This window comes from Homo sapiens, chromosome 1, assembly GCF_000001405.40.
Source record: "Homo sapiens chromosome 1, GRCh38.p14 Primary Assembly".
Classification (NCBI taxonomy): domain Eukaryota; kingdom Metazoa; phylum Chordata; class Mammalia; order Primates; family Hominidae; genus Homo; species Homo sapiens.
In genome coordinates this window covers 6015490-6035792 of record NC_000001.11, presented here as the reverse complement: position 1 = coordinate 6035792, position 20303 = coordinate 6015490, and the positions used below count along the sequence as shown (strand labels likewise).

At 52.1% G+C, this 20303-nt stretch overlaps 1 protein-coding gene across 12 annotated transcripts in view, besides 6 other annotated features; it reads right to left on the bottom strand.

Annotated features, from left to right (window-relative positions):
• Positions 1-20303, bottom strand: part of KCNAB2 (potassium voltage-gated channel subfamily A regulatory beta subunit 2) — a 108505-nt gene that overhangs the window by 65388 nt on the left and 22814 nt on the right. For 3 of the 12 annotated variants that reach the window (XM_047432866.1, XM_047432870.1, XM_047432872.1), the window contains exon 2: positions 16958-17158. The exons of 4 other annotated variants lie outside the window; for them this stretch is intronic. The gene's annotated coding sequence lies outside the window, so the exon portion shown is untranslated. Of the gene's footprint in view, positions 1-620; positions 733-998; positions 1106-9347; positions 9461-16957; positions 17159-20303 lie in introns of those variants that run through there. 5 more of the 12 variants (XM_011542322.3, NM_003636.4, NM_172130.3 and 2 more) reach the window with 3 other exon arrangements.
• Positions 7285-7354: an enhancer, noted in NCBI's record as "active region_74". NCBI's record gives its function as "activates an Ori minimal core promoter by ATAC-STARR-seq in GM12878 lymphoblastoid cells {active_cell/tissue: GM12878}" and the evidence as "EXISTENCE:reporter gene assay evidence [ECO:0000049][PMID:35858748]".
• Positions 7405-7454: an enhancer, noted in NCBI's record as "active region_73". NCBI's record gives its function as "activates an Ori minimal core promoter by ATAC-STARR-seq in GM12878 lymphoblastoid cells {active_cell/tissue: GM12878}" and the evidence as "EXISTENCE:reporter gene assay evidence [ECO:0000049][PMID:35858748]".
• Positions 8708-9471: an enhancer, noted in NCBI's record as "H3K27ac-H3K4me1 hESC enhancer chr1:6086382-6087145 (GRCh37/hg19 assembly coordinates)". NCBI's record gives its function as "activates a minimal SCP1, AML or CMV promoter by ChIP-STARR-seq in naive H9 embryonic stem cells {active_cell/tissue: H9 hESC(naive)}" and the evidence as "EXISTENCE:reporter gene assay evidence [ECO:0000049][PMID:30033119]".
• Positions 9035-9204: an enhancer, noted in NCBI's record as "active region_72". NCBI's record gives its function as "activates an Ori minimal core promoter by ATAC-STARR-seq in GM12878 lymphoblastoid cells {active_cell/tissue: GM12878}" and the evidence as "EXISTENCE:reporter gene assay evidence [ECO:0000049][PMID:35858748]".
• Positions 9645-9954: an enhancer, noted in NCBI's record as "active region_71". NCBI's record gives its function as "activates an Ori minimal core promoter by ATAC-STARR-seq in GM12878 lymphoblastoid cells {active_cell/tissue: GM12878}" and the evidence as "EXISTENCE:reporter gene assay evidence [ECO:0000049][PMID:35858748]".
• Positions 10235-10999: an enhancer, noted in NCBI's record as "H3K27ac-H3K4me1 hESC enhancer chr1:6084854-6085618 (GRCh37/hg19 assembly coordinates)". NCBI's record gives its function as "activates a minimal SCP1, AML or CMV promoter by ChIP-STARR-seq in naive H9 embryonic stem cells {active_cell/tissue: H9 hESC(naive)}" and the evidence as "EXISTENCE:reporter gene assay evidence [ECO:0000049][PMID:30033119]".

The window sequence follows — 20303 nt, the reverse complement described above, 5'->3', positions numbered from 1 at the left end:
CCCCGTCCCCATGCTGCAGACCCCACCCCCTCTACCACTCCCCTGAACCCCAGAGCTGTTTATTTCCTGCCTGTGTGGCTCAGCTATGAGGGTGGGGAACGTGTGCCTCGGATTCCTGGGTCAGACACTGAGCTCCCGACTGCCCTCACCCCCAGCCCAGTTCTTCCCAGGGTGGCCCCAGATGAGTAACGAGCTCCCCACCCTCCCAGGTGTCAGTCCCACTCCCGGGAGTCACCCCGACTCCTCCCTTCCTCCCACGTCCCGCCTCCCACATCCAATCCATCCCTGGGCCAGGGGCCCCGTGCCTCTCCCTGTCTCCTCTCCTGCCCAGCTGCCACCGGCTCTCATGCTGCTCCTCACAGCATTCCCTGCGCCCACCTCCACCCCCGCCGGCAGACTCTACGCGGCCAGGGTGATCCTCCCAGAACATAAGTCAGATTATGTCACTGCTTCACTCCAAACCTTCCAATGGCTTCCATTCCATTCAGAGCCAAAGTCCAATCTCAACAGTGGGTCCACAACCTTTCTAGCCACATCCCCCGCTGAGCCCCTCACACACTGGCCCCTGCCACACTGGCTCCCTGGGGGTCTGTGAACCCAGCAGACAGACTCACTCCCACCTCAGGGCTTCATGCACTCCTCCTCCTCCGGCCCGAATTCAACTTCTGACCACCGTGGTCTGCCTGAGCATGCTCCCACGTTTGCCTCTTTATGCCAAGGTCACCTTCTCATGGAGGTCTTCCCTGGACGCCTCCCTTTCATCGCAGTCCCCGTCTCCCCCACACTCCCTGGTCCCTCCCCTGGGCTGTTTCTCCCCAGCGCCTGTCACCTGCTCACACGCCTTCTCCTCCACCTACTCGTCTCGCTTATGCTGTCTGCCCACCAAGATGCCGGCTCCGGGAAAGCAGGGAGTTTTGTCTGCTGGTTCCCAGCTGTGCCTGGCACCTAGTAGACATGGAACAGATATTTGTTGAGTGAATGAATGAGTGGATGGATACCTCTGTGACCCAGCCTGCTGAAGGCCAGAGGAGAGAGAGCACTGGAGAGGCAGCCGGGGCTCGCAGTCTGCGTTACTGCAGGTAGCACAGCCCATGGCGCTGGGGACAGGGCTCGCACGTGGAACAAGGGCAGCTTTCTCCGGAGGGTGCAATGCCCACTGTGTCCAGTGGGGGTGCTCAGGGCAGCTACAGGTGCAGGGACAAGCGGCACCACTGGCCACTCAGGGAGGCGTCCCTGGGAGGCCACCTGTCCCACTCCCAACCCCTCTGGACTCCGAGAAGTGTTGACCCGAGGTCAGGCTGTATCTGTGCCAGCAGTCAGCTCTCCAGCCTGCAGCCACAGACGGGAACTGTACACCGTTTGATGACCACATTACAAGGAACTGCAGGCCATCAACACAGCCTCTGTTTCATTCCTCCCCAGGGTCCCAGCAGCCCAGTCCACCACCTTTGCCACCTCCCAGGGGAGGAGGGGTTGGTGAGATTTCCCCACAGCCCCTGCTTTGCATTTCAGGACGCAAGACACACAGGCAGAGCCGACTGGCCCAGAGTCCACCTTGTCGAGCTGCAGACACCACTGTCCAATCAGGAGCGACTGCATCTGCCAAGGAGCCAATCCCTGTGGAGCCAACATCCTAAAGGGGATGCCGTGAGTTCCAGGCTGGCACAGTGGCTCCTTTAGCGCAGAGGGAGGCAGGCACAGCTAAGCTGGGTGGCCCTGGGATCCCTGACACCTCCGGGACTTGGGAGAACAGGCTTCAGAAACCAACACACCAGACCCAAGAGGGGAGCCTAGCAGCTGACGGGGTGCAGGGCCCAGGGTCCAAGCAGGGAGCCCACAGGCTAGGTCCCTCCCATCAGCTCCACTTCCACTTGGTCTGCGTGTGACCTGGAGCAAATCTTCCGGATTTAGATTTGGAGAAACTGAAGCATGGAGCATTTAGAAAGGCCTGCCCAACTTCTCACGGAGCAATGAGAAGCAAGATGTGAAAATGCTTGGAGCCCAGGAAGGAATCCGGTCATTAAATCCTAGCTCTTTCCCTTTACGTGGTTGGCTGACAAGGACAGGGGACCCAGGAAGGTCGGTAGGCTCCCTCTTTGGGCATTTTCTTTCTTCCTACCAACTCACTACTTTGAAAACTTTCAAACCTCATAAAAGTGGAAATAATTAGAATAGCAATAAATACCCATATACTCTTGATCGCAATCATACACCAATTGTTTACCTCTTGTCTCACTTGTATGCATTCCCGCTCCTCTCTTCCCCTTTTCCTCTCTCCACACACATATGTACACACATACACATGCATACATGCACAGGCACACACCTACATATGCACAGGCACACACACGCACACCACATCCACATGCACAGACATGCACACATACAGGCACACATGCAATGCACACATACACGCACACATATGCACACACACCCACACGCACACACACACATGCACAATACAGGCACACATGCAATGCACACACACATATGCACACCCACATGCCCACACACGCACATGCACACAGGCACACACACACATACACGCACACCCACATGCACACATGCGCACACACCCACATGCACACACACGCACATGCACACACACACTTTTCTCTGAACTGTTTGAAAGTGCGTAGCAATCCCCTGAGCTCCACCCCTCAATACCTCAGCACTCATCTGAGAATTTTGTCTTAACCACAGCACCAGCATTGTACCTAAGATACTTAGTTCAATATCGCCTGATCCTCTATTAGGTGTTCCCAATTATTCCAAAAATAACTCCTACAGCTTTACAAAAATCTGGGATCCATTCAAGGCTCACAAATGGCATTGGTTATTTCTCTCTCATCTCTCTCAATCTAGAAGCAACCCCCCATATTTTTCATTTTTGTTTTTTATGACATTGACCTTTTTTGAAACGTTTAGGTCATCTGTCCTGCTGACAGTCCCTTGCTTTGGATTTGTCTGATTGTAGCTTCAGGATTCAATTTAGCTGAACCTTTTTGGGGAGGTCTTTTCCTTTTCATGCGTCCAGGCAGGGGCGAACAAGCAAGTTTGCCCATCGAGGGCAAGACCAGGTCTGGCCATTTGGTTAAGGTGGTGTCTGCCAGGGCATAGCTCTTTCTTTTCTTTTCTTTTTCCTTCCTTCTTTCCTTCCTTTTCTTTCTTTCTCTTTCTTTCTTGCTTGCTTTCTCTCTCTCTCTCTTTTTTTTTTTTAACAGAGTCTCAGTCTGTTGCCAGGCTGGACTGCAGTGGCATGATCTTGGCTCACTGCAACCTCTGCCTCCTGGGTTCAAGTGATTCTCCTGCCTCAGCCTCCCAAGTAGCTGGGACTACAGGCGCGTGCCACCATGCCCAGCTAATTCTTGTATTTTTAGTAGACATGGTTTCACCATGTTGGCCAGGATGGTCTCAATCTCTTGACCTTGTGATCTGCCTGCCTTGGCCTCCCAAAGTGCTGGGATTACAGGTGTGAGCCACCGCAACCGGCCACTGCTCTTTCTTTTTTTCATGATTAACCAGGAATCACAGGGGAGGTTCTTGAAGGCTGTGTGAATATTCGGTTCCCCTATGACCCCTCAGTGGAGGTGTTTTCTCAACTGCAGTTTTTCTAGAAAGGCCAAGTATGTTGCCAGTTTGAGCTCTGAATGCAAGAGTTGGTGAGAGGACAGGAAGCCAAGTTTGTTTAAACACAGAAAGGGATCCTGGGGGTCTTGAACTGTCATCAAAGCCATAGCCCCAGGAAGGCATTGCTGGTGAGACTCTTTCAGGGACTGATGGAAGGCCCATAGTGCCCCTTTATGGGACTCTGGCTCCTGGGGCAAGCCTAAGTCATGAGATTTAGGGCTGGCAGTTTCCTCTCCACGCTGCCCCATGCCCCTCTCTCTTTCTTTCTTTTTTTGAGACAGGGTCTTGCTTTGTTCCCCAGGCTGGAGTGCAGTGGCATGATCACGGCTCACTGCAGCCCTGACCTATGGGGCTCAAGGGATCCTTCCACCTCAGCCTCCCAATTAGCTGGGATCAGAGATGTGTGCCACCCAGCCTGGCTATTTTTTTTTTTTTTTTAATAGAGATGAGGCCTTACTCTGCAGCCCAGGCTGGTCTCAAACTCCTGGGCTCAAGCCATCCTCCTGCCTCAGTCTCCCAAAGGGTTGGGATTACAGGCGTGAGCCACTGCACCCGGCCAGGGCTGGCAGATTTTTGGAAAAGGTGGACCCATACATAATTCTAGGCAAGGACACACAAGGAAGAGCAGCCCCAGACTAAATGGATAAATGGAGCAAAACTCCCGGGGGCACAGCCAACCAAGGCGAGGGCCTCTCTTGGAGCCTCAGTTTTCTCATCTGCAGAATGGGGGGCCTGGGACCACAATTTCTCTGTTGGAGTTAATGGTAAATGACTATTATATTGGGCGCAAATGTGCCCTGGGAGGTCTGAGTAGGAGCTTTGGGGGCACTGTCTCTGATTCCTTCAACCTCAGCATCAAAGGGAATCTGTACCCTGTCGGAGCCACCTGAGCTGCTTGCATGAGATGGGAAGAAGTCAGTGCACCCAGGTGAGAGAAGGAAATAAATGAATGGCTTAAGCCAAGAAACCACAAGGAAAGGTCAGGACTGAGCCCAGGAGTCAAGGACAGAGACACAAAATAATAGAAGACACTTTCTGATTTGACCTGGTGTGGGGACAACCTGTTATGGTTACCCACATGTTCTGGTTGATGGAGCTGGCACCTGATTTGCATAGGGAGGGCATAAGGGTATGGGAGGTGGAGTTACTGACACCCAATGCCTCACTTCTCCCAGCATCCATGTCCTTTGCTGTGTGACTTTGCTGCCTCTCCCAACACACACACACACACACACCCCTACACATACAAACATACCTATTCACATACACACACCTACACATACATACACACACCTACACATACATACACACACATACCTACACACATATACTTACACATACACACATATACACACACACCTACACACCTACACACATACACACACATATCTACACACACGTACACATACACACATATACACACATAAACACACATAAACATACACATACCTACACACATACACACACACATACACACAAACACACATACACACACCCCATACACGTACATACATATACACATACCTACACACACATACACACATACCTACACACATACAGATACATACACATACAAACATACCTACACACATACACACATAGACATACACACATACACACATATGTACACACACATACACACATACATACATAACACATATACACAATGCACAGACACACGTACATATGCACATACACACACACACACACACACGTTGGAGGGGTGAATTCCTAGCCTTGCGCTCCTGTGCAACCATGTGACTTGCTTTGGCCACCGGAAGGTGATCAGATGTCTCAGTCACAGGAGACTTGCCCCTGAACCTCTGCCATGATCATGGGACAGGCACGCCCCAGTCCACCCTGCTACATATGCAAGAGCCACCCCACCTGGACCAGGCAACCCCAGCTTCTCTGTGACATGGAACCAGCTGCTCCATGAGTGCATGATAAATAAATGCTCGCTGTAGCTACCAGCAGCATCATTATACAGAATTCATCTTAGCGCTTAACCCCAGGGCTCCAGGGAGCAAGTTCTGCTTTGATTTAATCTCCAGGGTCATACTTATAAACATTGAATTATAAGTCCAGTGGGTACCTGGAAACCTACTTCCAGTTTCTGCAAAAGACATTATCTGTCTCTTTATTGCAGATTCTGGAGTACAAAAAATTTGAGCTGGCCGGAACCTTCCTTTAGTGAGAAGTCTTGATCCAAAGTCGGTACTTTGAGGCTGGAGAGGATCTCTCTCTAAGCTGAAATCTTGCCAGTGCTGACTGCACATGCTCTGATCTTCTTTGGGAGCTGGTTGATGACACTATTCCATCCCCTTTGGGTGACCTGAGGCGATCAGTCTGGGTTCCTGGGAAGGAGGTTAGGCCCACTCAGTGGTTCGGATCTGGGCTTTGGAGTTGGCACTGGCTCTGCCATGTGCTGGTCTATGACCTTGGGCAATTCTCTCAGCCTTCCCTGTGTCAGTTTCTCCATCTGTAAAATGGGATGATAATGAGGGAGGACTCAGTGTGCTAACAGGTAGGGGTGTGCAGCGGGGGCTGCAGGAGCTGGGACTAGCCTGTGCCCCGCCCTGGTGTCACATCAGGCAGAGGTGCAGGGATGGCTCTGGCCCCAGGTCTGGGTGTGACTCCTGGGGAGTCACTGACCACAGCTGCTTCCTGGACATCTGTGCCATCTGCATGAAGGCAGGTGAAGCTGCTCTTGTACGGTGCATCCTGGGCAGCGGTCTTACCAGCAAAATTGGTGTCTGAGGGTCCTCGGCCTTGTTACAACACCTGCTCTACTGGCTGCTGGTCTCCTTGGCTGTCAGGAGGCTTCTCTGTCTTTTCCACTTTCCCAGAAAAGGCTCATCTTTTTTTTTTTTTTTTTTTTGAGATGGAGTCTCTTCAGTCGCCCGGGCTGGAGTGCAATGGCGCGATCTCGGCTCACTGCAGCCTCTGCCTCCTGGGTTCAAGCAAGTCTCCTGCCTCAGCCTTCTGAGTAGCTGGGACTACAGGCACACGCTGCCATGCCTGGCTAATTTTTTTGTATTTTTTAGTAGAGACAGGGTTTCACCATGTTGGCCAGGATGGTCTTGATCTCCTGACCTTGTGATCCACTCGCCTGGGCCTCCCAAAGTGAAGGCTCATTTTTATAGACGTGACCAGCCACACCCAAGTGTGAACCCACGCCTCAGGGCGTCATGGCGGGACTTGTGGCGCTTAGGCTTTCTGTGGCTGCATCCAAATTCCGAATCATCCTGGAAGCTCAAAGGTTCCAGAAGGCTGGTTTGCAGATCCCCGAGGTCTTAAGAATGATCACCTTGTATTCCTTATCTATTTGCCAGGCAACTTGGACTCACAGCTTTCAAAAGGCCAACTCTAATACGATGGGGACAGTGGCCACCAGGAGGCGGGGTCCCTGGAGGCCATCCTGGAGGTCAGTGGAGCAACACCAACGATGGACTCTCCCCCAGATTCACCTCTGTAACCATATCCTGTAAGACTGCTGGGAGGTCAGCTCCTCTGGGCAGGGAGCTTCATCTCTTTCCTTCACGGATGTACCCCCGCACCCAGAGCGGCCACCAGCATGTGGTAATGCCTAGTGAACATCGCAGAAGGGATGGAGAGAGGGGGGCTGTTCTGGGCTAGGTGTGACGTCCTGGGTGTCTTCCGGAAGGCCTCGGGGCGAGGACTCCAGCACCTGCTTGTTGAACTGATGTTATTTTGCATGTTGCTTCTGGAACCCCGGAGGTCCCCCCTGCCAAGCCCCCGAAGTATCTGCCGTGACTACTGTATAACACAAAACCATGGTCTGCTTGTTCTGCGTGCCAGAGCCTAGAGGAGCCATGGCAGTGACTGTGCTTCCAGCGGAGACAGGAAGAGGTATAACTGCTCAAAACCGCATGACACAGAAGGGCACTTACACAACACACACTTCCCCTCTCACCCAGAAGCCAGGAGCCCACACAGGAGCCCATTCCTTCCCTGGGTGGGATCTGATGGCAGAGGGTCAATGCTGCAACGAAGGCAGGTGCTGACTCTGAGTGCACTGGGGTCAAGACCCTAGGGGGCCGTTGGCCTGGTGGGTCATGATGGGGATCTGGAAGAAAGGCCCATTTGTCAGAAGGACACCCCAGAGGGTGGGCAGGGGTTGGGAGGTCAACATAACCCAGTTCCCCGACAGCTCCATCCAGACTTTGGCTCAGATGCAGCCAAAGAAATGCGAGGAGAAGAACTGTGCAAACCTTACTAGAGATTGGAGATCCCAGTCAGGATTCCCTGTGTTTGTCACAGAGAAACCTCAGTCTCTCCTCCAATCTCCTGAGGCCTGAGCCGAGGGGACCAGTGGCACGGCGACAGATGTCACATGGTTCAGTCAACAGCAGAAGCATTGGGACCTAACCACGGTGCCCAAGGTCATGACTGCCGAACGGAGCATTTGATGGTACATCACATCAACGCCTCATTAACAATTTTCAAGAAGATCACAAGCTAGAAATTTCAATCTCTTCAAAGCAACGTTCAATGCCTGTTCCCTGATTACAAATACGACAGGTCTAGACTTTTGCAAGAACAGTCCACATTCACATGTAATCAATGCTGCAATGAACAAAAAATAGACCACAGCCAAAAAATTCCCATGCCTGCCCTAGCTCCATCCTGCCTCTCAGTGACCACAGGTGGAAACTACGGTGCCGTGCAGGGCCGCTCACCTGGCACTGGGTGGTGGGTACCCCAGTGCTGCACAGACGGCACGACCCGCAGTGAGTCAGGGCTGCCGCAGGCTGCTCACTCAGTAGCTGGCAGGGCCTGTCCCCTGCAGAGGCAGCAGGAGCCCTCGACAGTTCAGTCCCCATAGCCGCACACCCAGGCCCCCGGCCTCCTCCCTTCAGCCGTCCACACACACACACACACACACACACACACACACACACACACACACACACACACACTGTGTCCCCCAGGAGGCTTACAGCCTCCTCCCTCCAAGACCACACCCTGCACCCATATCCTGCCCAGGGGAAATGGAGGAGGCAAGTGAGAGGGGACGCAGGAAGCCATCACCAGGGAGCCCCTTGCCCTCCCCTCTGGGACAGTGACTCAGGGCTGTGCAAGGGGTTGCAGGGTGGGGAAGTGTTCTGAGGGGTCTTTATCCCCCACCACTGCCCTGTGCTCAGCCCCAAGGGGGAGGGGAGAGAGGAGGGACTGGGGACCCACGCCATCCATGTTCAAGGCAGGGGCCTTCGCGCCTTCCACTCAGAGATGGGAATCCCCAGGCCAGGGCCTCCCGAGAGACAGCAGACAAGATGGGCAGGGCTCTCCCCAGGAGCTGCCAGCCCTGCCCCCTGCAGAGGGACAGAGGTGGCCCCACATGGCTCTCCATCTTCCGGCGTCTCCCTCAACATCATCCCAGGGATGAAGGCAGAAGCCAGGGGAGAATGTGCGGCCGTCAGACATCTCTGCTGGGTGCCAGGCCCACTCTGTCCAGCAGCAGCAACAGGAAGCAGTGAAGGGCCGGGCTGCGTTGGGCAGGGTGTCTTTGGGGTCAGCTCACCCCAGGCTGAGGCCAATCCCTAGGCGGGCATGCGGGGCTCAGGGGTTCAGGCTGGCACAATTAACCCTGGACATTACGGGGGACCTAAGCCCTGCTCAGGGAGCTGAGGCTGCCCACCCGTCAGACAGAAAACCCATCCTAGACAACGGGATCCCCGGAGCACCCCAGGTACCTGCTCCTGAACGGGAACGACCGGAGACAAGGCCATTTTCCGAGCACTCAGGGGAACGCCAGGTCACACATCTGCTGCAAAGCACGCGCCTTGGGACCACAGCACCCAACAGGAAGTTGGTGCAGCGCGTGCCAGAGCTATGCACTGCCGCCGCAGGGCTGAGAAGCCTGGCGCGCCAGGGCCCCGTGGGGTGTCGGGGCGTGGCCTTTGCTCTCAGGCATGCCTAGCGCGTGACCCAGGTGGGAGGGCCCGACATCTCCGACCTTCCTGGATGAGCAGCGGCCAGATGGGGCAGGAGACAGGCAGAGGACAGGAAGCAGGTGGCTGTGAGGAGACAGCCCGGGCCTGTCCCCAAGCGGCCCCTCCAGAGTAGGAGGCAGACCTTCCCTGTCGGCCCAGGAGCCCCTTTCTCAGGGCAGAGGGTTCTGGTGATGTTGAAGAGCTCCCCTCACTGCTGCCAGCAGTGTGCCGGGATCGGCTGTGTGCCGGGATCGGCTGTGTGCCGGGATCGGCTGTGTGCCGGGATCGGCTGTGTGCCGGGATCGGCTGTGTGCCGGGATCGGCTGTGTGCCGGGATCGGCTGTGTGCCGGGATCGGCTGTGTGCTGGGGTGGGCTGCCCACCTTTTACCTGCGCTCCCTCATCTTATCTTCCCTGCTGCCCTGGGAAGGGGTACTGCTGCCCCCCCATGCTACAGGTGACAACACGAAGGGTCAGAGAGCCCTGGACTCAGGGCTGGCTGACTCTAAAGTGTGCTCTGAGCTGTGCACTGCTGAGAAGCCCAGGGCAGGCTCTGCCACTCCATCTCCCAACTTTGTGCCAGGACACAGAGGGGGCAGCCGCCTTGAGGGGACAGGTGGCCCTGGGGAGGACGGGCCAGAGGTAAGAGCACCCTCTGCGGGGTTTTTCTCCCTCCCCGCGGCCTCTCCCTGCTCTGCCATTCCTTCTTGGGGAGGCCCCTCATTCCTTCTTGGGGAGGCCCCTCCTCCCTCCTACGCCAGCTGCTGAGCCTGGGGCCAGGCTCTCTGGTGACTCACTCTGGGCACAGCCCAAGCTCTTTGGGGTACCAGGCAAAGGGAGGACTCGGGTGGAACATTCCATCTCCCATGGTGCCAGCCACCTGCACCGTGTTGAGTCCCTGGTCCCAGGCCACACCCGTGTGTGTGATTCCAGGAGGGAGGCTGGCACCCCCTCTCCTGGCATAGGTACACAGCTCTGAAGCCTACACCAGGGGTGCTGCTGTGTGTTCCCGGCAGGATAAAGATAAAGACAGTGGTTAGGGGAGGTAGAAAGAGGAAAAGGAAGGGAAAATAAAATAGTCTGGGTGCTCACTAGGAAAGTAGAGGTGTCGAGAGACAAACAGGAGGGAGAAGGGAGAAGGAGGAAGGCGAACGAATGGGAAAATGAAAAAGAAAGAGCGAGGCGCCATGACGGAGAGCTGGGGGACAGCAACCCATGTTGAGCCAGCTCTGGGCCTTGCTCCCAACCCTGACTATGACATGCTTTTTACAGATGGGGAAATTGAGGCCCAAGAATATTAAATAACATCCAAGGTCGCTTGGTGAAATTAGTGGCAAAGCTGGAACCAGAGCCTAGGTGTGTCCAGCTCGAAATTGGGGTTCTTTCCTCACACATACCTTGACCTCCTGCCCTGGAGCCCCCCATGGAACTCTGGCTCTGGACAGGTGACCTCTGCTGCCTCCCAGAGCCAGAGAACAGCCGTTATCCTCTTGGCCCCCAGCACGGAGATGTTGCCCTGACTCTGTGGGTCTCCAAACACAGACTGTATTCACGGCTATCACAGACCACAGCTGCAGATGCTGAATCTCACGAGCAGAGGTAAAAGCTAGGGGATGCGAAAGTAACCTCACTGGCTGCTTCGCAGTTTCAGACACACTGAACCAGCCCTCAAACCTCAGCTTCATTCCTGGCTCTTAAAAATAAATTGTATTTTCAGATATTTGCCAACTCTTTTTTTAAAAAGTTTCTTTGGACCAGGAAGGCAGGTGACTGGTAAATGCTGAGTGGCAAAATTAGAGATACTTCATTTAAAAGACACTACTGGCTGGGTGCGGTGGCTCACACCTGTAACCCAGCACTTTGGAGGCCAGGGTGGGAGGATTGCTTGAGGCCAGGAGTTCGAGACCAGTCTGGGCAACATAGTGAGACCCAATCTCTAACAAAAAATTTAAAAATTAGCCTGGCAGCTGGGCATGGTGTCTCACGCCTGTAATCCCAGAACTTTGGGAGGCCGAGATGGGTGGATCACCTGAGGTCAGGAGTTCGAGACCAGCCTGACCAACATGGTGAAACCCCGTCTCTACTAAAAATACAAAAATTAGCTGGACATGGTGGTGGGCGCCTGTAATCCCAGCTACTCGGAAGGCTGAGGCAGGAGAATTGCTTGAACCCAGGAGGCGGAGGTCGCAGTGAGCCTAGATTGTGCCATTGCACTCCAGCCTGGGAGACAAGAGTGAAACTTTCCATCTCGAAAAAAAAAAAAAAAATTAGTCATTCATGGTGGTGCATGCCAGTGGTCCCAGCTATTTAGGAGGCTGAGGTGGGAGGATCCCTTGAACCCAGGAGTTTGAGGCTACAGTGAGTTATGATCATGCCACTGGACTCCAGCCTGGGCAACATAAGAAGACCCACCTCTATAAATAAATAGGTAAAGAAAAATAGAAGGCACTATCAACAGTAATAAGGCAACCCAGAGTGAGTGAAAATACTTGCAAATCCCATATCTGATAAGGAATTAATATCCAGAATACATAGAGAACTAAAATTCAACAGAAAACCAAACAGCCCAATTACAAAAACGGCAAAGGACTTGAATAGATACTTCTCCAAAGACAAGACACAAATGGCTAATAAACACATTAAAAGGTGCTCAACGTCAGTAACCATTAGGGAAATGCAAATCAAAACCACAGTGAGATACTACCTCGCAGCCATTAGGATGGCCGCTATAAAAAAGCCCAGAATAATAAGGGTTGGCAAGATGTGGAGAAATGGGGACCCTGTGCACTGTTGGTGGGAATGTAAAATGGTACAGCCACTATGGAAAACAGTATGGTGGTTCTTTGAAAACTAAAAGTCGAATTACTATATGATCTAGCAATTCCACTTCTGGGGATATACCCTAAATAATTGCAAACAGGGTCTCAAAGGGATATTTGTACCCGTGTGTTCACAGTAGCATGATTTGCAATAGCTAAAACATGGAAACAACCCAGGTTCACTGATGGATAAAAAGATACGCAAAGGCTGAACATGGTGGCTCATGTCTGTAATCCCAGCACTTTGGGAGGCCAAGGCAGGCAGATCACTTGAGGTCAGGAGTTCAAGACCAGCCTGGCCAACATGGCGAAACCCCGTCTCTACTAAAAATACAAAATTAGCTGGGTGTCATGGCAGGCACCTGTAATCCCAGCTGCTCAGGAGGCTGAGGCATGAGAATCACTTGAACCCAGGAGGCAGGGGTTGCAGTGAGCCAAGATCGCGCCACTGCCCTCCAGCCTGGGTGACAGCGAGACCCTGTCTCAAAAAAAAAAAAAAAAAAAAAAAGATAAGCAAAATGTGGCACACACATGCAAGGGAACATCCCTCAGTCATACAAAGGAAGGAAATGCTGACATATGGTACAACACGGATGAGTCTCGAGAACATTCTGCTAGGTGAAATAAGCCAGTCACAAAATGACAAATACTGTACAATTCCAATGATCTGAGGTCCCTAGAGTAGTCACGTGCCTAGAGACAGAAAGCAGAATGGTGGCCCTCAGGGGCAGGGGAGGGGGAATGGGAAGTTCCAGTTTAATGGGGACAGAATTTCAGTTTGGGAGAATAAAAAGGTTCTGGAGATGGATGGTGGTGATGGTAGTGCATATATTATGAATGTACTTAATACCGCTGAACTGTACACTCAATACCACTGAACTGTACACTCAATACCACTGAACTACACACTCAATACCACTGAACTGTACACTCAATGCCACTGAATTACACACTCGATACCACTGAATTATACACTCAATACCACTGAGCTGTACCCTCAATACCAACTAGCTGTATCCTTAATACCACCGAACTGTACACTCAATACCAATGAACTGTACACTCAATACCACTGAGCCATACACTCAGTACCACTGAACTGTACACTCAATACCACTGAACTATACACTCAATACCACTGAACTACCCACTGGATACCACTGAACTGTACACTCAATACCACTGAATTTACGCACTCAATACCACTGAACTAGACACTCAATACCACTGAACTGTACACTCAATACCACTGAACTACACACTCGATACCACTGAACTATACACCTAATACCACTGAACTGTACACTCAATGCCACTGAATGACACACTCAATACCACTGAACTGTGCCCTCAATACCACTGAACTGTACACTCAATACCACCGAACTATACACTCGTACCACTGAACTACACACTCAGTACCACTGAACCATACCCTCAATGCTACTGCACTTTACCCTCAATACCACTGCACTTTACCCTCAATACCACTGAACTGTACACTCAATACCACTGAACCATACCCTCAATACCACTGCACTTTACCCTCAATACCACTGCACTTTACCCTCAATACCACTGAACTGTACACTCAATACCACTGAACTGTACACTCAATACCATTGAACTGTACACTCAATACCACCGAACTACACACTCATACCACTGAACTACACACTCAGTACCACTGAACCATACCCTCAATACCACTGCACTTTACCCTCAATACCACTGAACTGTATACTCAATACCACTGAACTGTATACTCAATACCACTGAACCATACCCTCAATACCACTGCACTTTACCCTCAATACCACTGAACTGTATACTCAATACCACTGAACTGTACACTTAATACCACTGAACTATACACTTAATACTATTGAATTTTATACTTAATACCACTAAACTGTACACTTAAAAGTGGTTAAGATGGCACATTTTATATGTACCTTTACCACAATAGAAAAAACTGGGAAAAAAGAAAAAGAAAAAGAAACTTCTGCATCATGGAGTCAACAGCAGCTCCACATTTGGGTGTATGTGTTTAAGCCAAATATTTAAGCTGGCTCAATAAACATGGCACATGGTGGCTCGTGCCTGAAATCTCTGTAATCTCAGCACTTTGGGAGCCCGTGGTGGGTGGATCGCTTGAGCCCAGGAACTTAAGACCAGCCTGGGCAACATGGAGAAACCCTGTCTCTACAAAAAATAAAATAAAAAAATTAGCTGGGCATGGTGATGTGCACCTGCAGTCCAGGCTACTTGGGAGGCTGAGGCAGGAGGATGGCTTGAGCCTGGAAGGTCGAGGCTGCAGTGAGCTGTGATTGTGCCACTGTACTTCAGCTGGGTGACAGAACAAAACTTTGTCTCAAAAAATATATATGAAAATAAAAATTTTAGGCTGGGTGTGGTGGCCTTACAGGTTTACAGGTGGGATTACATGCCTGTAATCCCAACACTTTGGGAGGCCGAGGCGGGCAGATCACCTGAGGTCAGGAGTTCGAGACCAGCCTGGCCAACATGGTGAAACCCCATCTCTACACAAAAATTAGCCAGGCATGGTGGTGGGCACTTGTAATCCCAGCTACTCAGGAGGCTGAAGCAAGAGAATCACTTGAATCCAGGAGGCAGAGGTTGCAGCGAGCCGAGATCGCACTATTGCACTCCAGCCTGGGTGACAGAGCGAGACTCCGTCTCAAAAATAAATAAATAATAAAAATAGAAATTTTAAAAATGTGGTAGATACGGTTGCTGGCTGGCCCACCTGTCACCCATGACCCCTATATTTCCTGAATTTTCTTCCAGCTGGGGTGGCCTGTGGCGGTCCATAACCCGAGTCCAGGAGGGTGGGGCTTCGGGAAAATTCTGCTTGGAAAGGGACGCGATCCTGGTGTGTTCTTGTCATGGAAGAGGCTGAGTATCAGGTTCTGCTTCTGTTTTCAGCAGGGGTGGTGCTGGGGGCATCTCAGGCTGGATTGGGGGCAGAAGGTGGCAGTCTGAGAGGCTGAGGTGGGAGGCTGTACTGCAGCAGGTGGTCCTGACCACAGAACGAGATCCCGAGCCAGCCCTGTCTGGGGACCACCAAAATTCTTCTCCTTTAATGGGGACCTCACAGTGGTTCTCCTTATAGCTTCTAGCTATTTCTACAACATAAGGATCAACGACCGAATCAATTTGCTTTGATGTAACTTCATTCCTCTGGGCCAGGACTGTGGGGAGGGGGCACATCCCCCAAGTGTTACCAAGATAACTAGGTTTACATGTCGTGAAGCCTCCGAGCATGCAGAGACGGGACCCCAGGTACAGGGCTCCGGGGGATGCATGACCCCCCTCCGCAAGACCTCCACCTGTGGGAAACTCTAGGCAGATCATCCCACTGGGGACAACTGAAATGACAACATGGTCCTTTGCATGCTGATTGGAAACCAGCTTCCTCATAACTTTCACCTGCTGGGCCTGCTCCGCCCTCCGGAGATTGACAACGAAGTGAGTCCCTCTGTCTAGGACAATCCCTGGAGCATCTGAGGACACCTGCCATAGCTCACCCCATCTACAACCGGGCCCTTTGTTCTTGAGAGCAAACCTTGCTTCTTTCCCTCCTTCCACACAAGGTTTCTGACTTAAGCCATGAATATAATTTTGGCCGACACTGTGCAGCACGTGCTGCACGTGGGCTGTGACACTGGACCCTCGCCAAACCTTACAGGCCAGCCTCGGGTTGGTGCTGTATCAGTGAAGACGCTCAGGTCGAGGCTGGCAAGCTGGGCTTTGGAGAGCAGGGAGTCCGGTGCTCCAGTGCCCAACTCCAGAGCCTTAATTAGCCATCATTCGGCACAGTTTCTCTCTGGAACATCAGCACCCTGCCACTCTCTTTTAATGGTGCTGATTCCTTCCTAAATGACAGAGGCACCCAGAACCTGAGCAACACTGCACACCGGCTGGCCAGCAGAGAGTGCAGTGTGACGGCTTCCCTCCTTGCTGTAGGACAGGGGTTGGAAAACTGCTGCGCCAGCCTGTCACCTGTGTTTGTGCAGCCCTCGAGCTAAGAACAGTTTTTACAGTTTTATTTATTTCATTTAATTTTTTTTAGGAGAAGGGAACTTACTCTGTTGCCCAGGCTGGAGTACAGTGGCATGATCACAGCTCACTGCAGCCTTGAACTCCTGGGCTCAAGTGATCCGTCTGCCTCAGCCTCCCAAGTAGCTGGAACTACATGTGTGTGCCACCACCCCCGGCTAATTTTATAATTTTTTATAGAGACAGAATCTTGTTATGTTGCCCAGGCTGGTCTCAGACTCTTGGCCTTACACTGTCCTCTTGCCTCAGCCTCCCATAGTGCTGGGCTTACAGGTGTGAACCACTGTGCCCAGTCCAATTTTTACAGTTTTAAACGAAAGAAAACCAAAAGAAGAATAACATTTCATAACACACAAAATTTATATAAAGTTCCCAATCTCAGCATCCATAAATAAAGTTTTATTGCCAGGTAGCCAAGCTATCTTGTTATCTTAGTGAGCTTGGGAATGCCATAATGAAATACCACAACCTGGGTGGCTGAAACAGCAGACGTTTCTGTCTCACGGTGCTGGAGGCTGGTAAATCCAACATCAGGGTCCTGGCTGATTTGGTTCCAGGTGAGGGCTCTCTCTTGCAGACAGAATTCCTTCCTGCTGGGTCCACACAGGGTAGGGAGGGAGCTCTGGCCTTTTCCTCTTCTTACCAAGGCACTAGTCCTGTCGTGAGGCCTCTATCCCAAAATAAAAAAAATTAGCTGGGCGTCGTGGTGCATACCTGTGGTCCCAGCTACTTGGGATGCTGAGGTTGGAGGATCGCTTGAGCGATCCCAGGAGGCCCAGGCTGCAGTGAGCCATGATCACTCCACTGCACTCCAGCCTGGGCAACAGAGCAAGACCTGAGCTTATCTAAACCTTATCACCCCCAGAGCCCCACCTCTTAATACCATCACATTGAGGATTAGGGCTATCAATCTTGGGGGACAGAAACATTCAGTACACAGCACCTATTTACATATTGCCCGGGGCTGCTTTCACGCTACTATGGCAGACCTGAGTAGTTGCAATAGAGACTGAATTTCCTGCAAGCTGAAAACATCGACTATCTGGTCCTCTATGAAAACATTTGCCTGGCTGGGCGCAGTGGCTCATGCTTGTAATCCCAGCACTTTGGGATTGGGAGGCTGTGGTGGGAGGATTGCTTGAGCTGAGTTCAAAACCAGCCTGGGCAACACAGTGAGACACCTTTTCTACAAAATTACAAAAAAAATTAGTTGGGTGTGGTTTACAGCTATGGGATTACAGGTGTGTGCCTGTAGTACCAACTACTTGCAAGGCTCAGGTGGGAAGACTGCTTGAGCCTGGCAGGTCAAGGCTGCAGTCGCCTATGATCACACTATTGCATTCCCGCCTAGGCAACTGAGTGAGATCTTGTCTAAAAAAAAATTTTTTTTTGCTGAACCCTGTTCCAGGACAACATCTCCTCCAGGAACACAGCCTTTTAGGCCACGCCTGGCTGGGTGTGGTGGCTTATGCCTGTAATCCCAGCACTTTGGGAGGCCAAGTTTTTTTTTTTTTTTGAGACAGTCTTGCTCTGACGCCCAGGCTGCAGTGCAGAGGCGCTATCTTGGCTCACTGCAACCTCCGCCTCCCAGGTTCAAGCAATTCTCCTGCCTCAGCCTCTCGAGTAGCTGGGATTGCAGGCACCTGCCACCATGCCCGGCTAATTTTTGTATTTTTTACAATGGGGTTTCACTATGTTGGCCAAGATGGTCTCGAACTCCTGACCTCAAGTGATCTGCCTGCCTCGGCCTCCCAAAGTGCTGGGATTACAGATGTGAGCCACCCATGCCTGGTGGGTAAATCTCTTGAGCCCTGGAATTCTAGACCAGCCCAGCAACATACTGAAAACCCATCTCTACTAAAAATACACACACACACACACACACACACACACACACAGCCAGGTATGGTGATGTGCACCTGTGGTCCCAGCAACCTGGGAGGCCGAGATGGGAGGATGGCCTGAGCCTCAGGTTGCAGTGAGCTAAGATCGTGCCACTGCACTCCATCCTGGGTGACAGTGTGAGACCTCATCTCAAAAAAAGCTCAATAAGAAGGCCATGCTTCCCCTGCAGACACCTGTGCTCCCCTATCTGCTTTGCACACACCCTTGCAGAATCTACACCTCTGCTCTACGCACCCTGCGTCCCCAGCCCTATTTGCCCATCCTTGTGGGCCTGAGTCTAGGACTTTTCCTCTGTCTTGGTGGGGAGGGGGTCTCACTGAAGTCAGACGGCCTGTACGGAGCTCGGCACTGTCTCCATGCATACTCCTGGTCACGGTATTTTGTGGGTGAGTTTTAGGTGGTTTGTTGACTTTCCAGCCAACTCTGGGATTCTGCTGGGTTTTCCTCTTGTGAGACCATAACCTCCTCTCCTGGGGATGTGACACACAAATCCGCTTTCATAACCGGTACCCAGAAGGCAGACCTATTTCAGCAGCGGTGTGATTAGTGGTGTTCTGCCCATCTCTGTTCAAAACCTCACTCTGGGAGAGGATCAGATGCAGCAGGTCCAGTTGACGCTGGTCAAGCTCCTGTCTGGGGCCCACGCAGAAGTCCAGTGGGACGTATTAGTGTCCATGCTCCATAGCGTCACTGCAGTGTCACCGCTGCCGTCTACTGCCTGCCCCGCCCGAGTCACACCGCGTGTGAGCAGCACCCCAAAGCCTTCCTACAGATGCAAACCTCATGGCTTAAAAGCTCCTTGCACTGTTTTCTGGTAGACGCCTGTCCAGTCACATGTTATGCACAATTTTTAAGTGTTTCACACAGGCCTCGTGAAAACGCCTCATCAAATTCAGTACTTGGCTCCACGGTCTATTGAAAGGATGCTCTGTCTTGAAAGCCCTGTGGTCTCAAGGGGGTGGACACATTGACATGTTCTCACAGCCCCAGGTTTAAATAGCTCCATTGTGACTCATGGAAGCTGGGGAAGAGCCAAGGGACGTCAGTGCATCCCAGGAAAGGACCCGCCAGGAGCGAGGTCCTCCCTGAGCCCTGGCCTGTGGAGTCCCACCCACCCCTCACTCGGAGATGTTGGAGGGTGGCCCAGCAGGGTGGTCTGGGGGACCCTGCTTGGCCCCTGGGAGTCCGTGGGAAGCCTCCTTCGCTCTGAAAGCTGAAGCTGTCAGCAGGCAGCAGGCAGCAGGTGGGTGCTGGTGGCTGGAATGTAGTGCTTCCTTTACGGTGGGGTTTGAGGCCCATCGAGTGACTAAATGTCTCTGGACAAAAGATGTTCCTTGCATCAGAGAAACCTCATTATTGCAGAATCTCCTTTCTTTTTTAAATAAAAACATCTCTAGGGGCTGGGTGTGATGGCTCACACCTGTAATCCTAACACTTTGGGAGGCCGAGGTGGGCAGATTGAGCCCAGGAGTTCCAGACCAGTCTGGGCAACATGGTAAAACCCCGTCTCTACAAAAAAATACAAAAATTAGCCAGGCGTGGTGGCGCATGCCTGTGGTCCCAGCTACTTGGGAGGCTGAGTGGGAGGATCACTTGAGCCCGGGGAGGTGGAGGCTGCACTGGGCCATGACTGCGACACTGCACTCCAACCTGGGTGACAGATCGAGATCCTGTCTCAAAAAACCCCCAAAAACCAACCAACCAACCAATCAACCAAAAATCTCTAAAGCTCCAAATCAATATTAGCATAGCAAACCCAACACTGACCCAAGCCCCATCGACACTGGAGCTGTCTTCAGCGGACAGGACGCTTCCCCAGGGTGCTTACGCAGCTATGGCAGGGAAGGGCAAACTTTTGCAGCAATGGGACAGACAGTAAATATTTTAGGCATTTCGGGCCAGTCCATCTC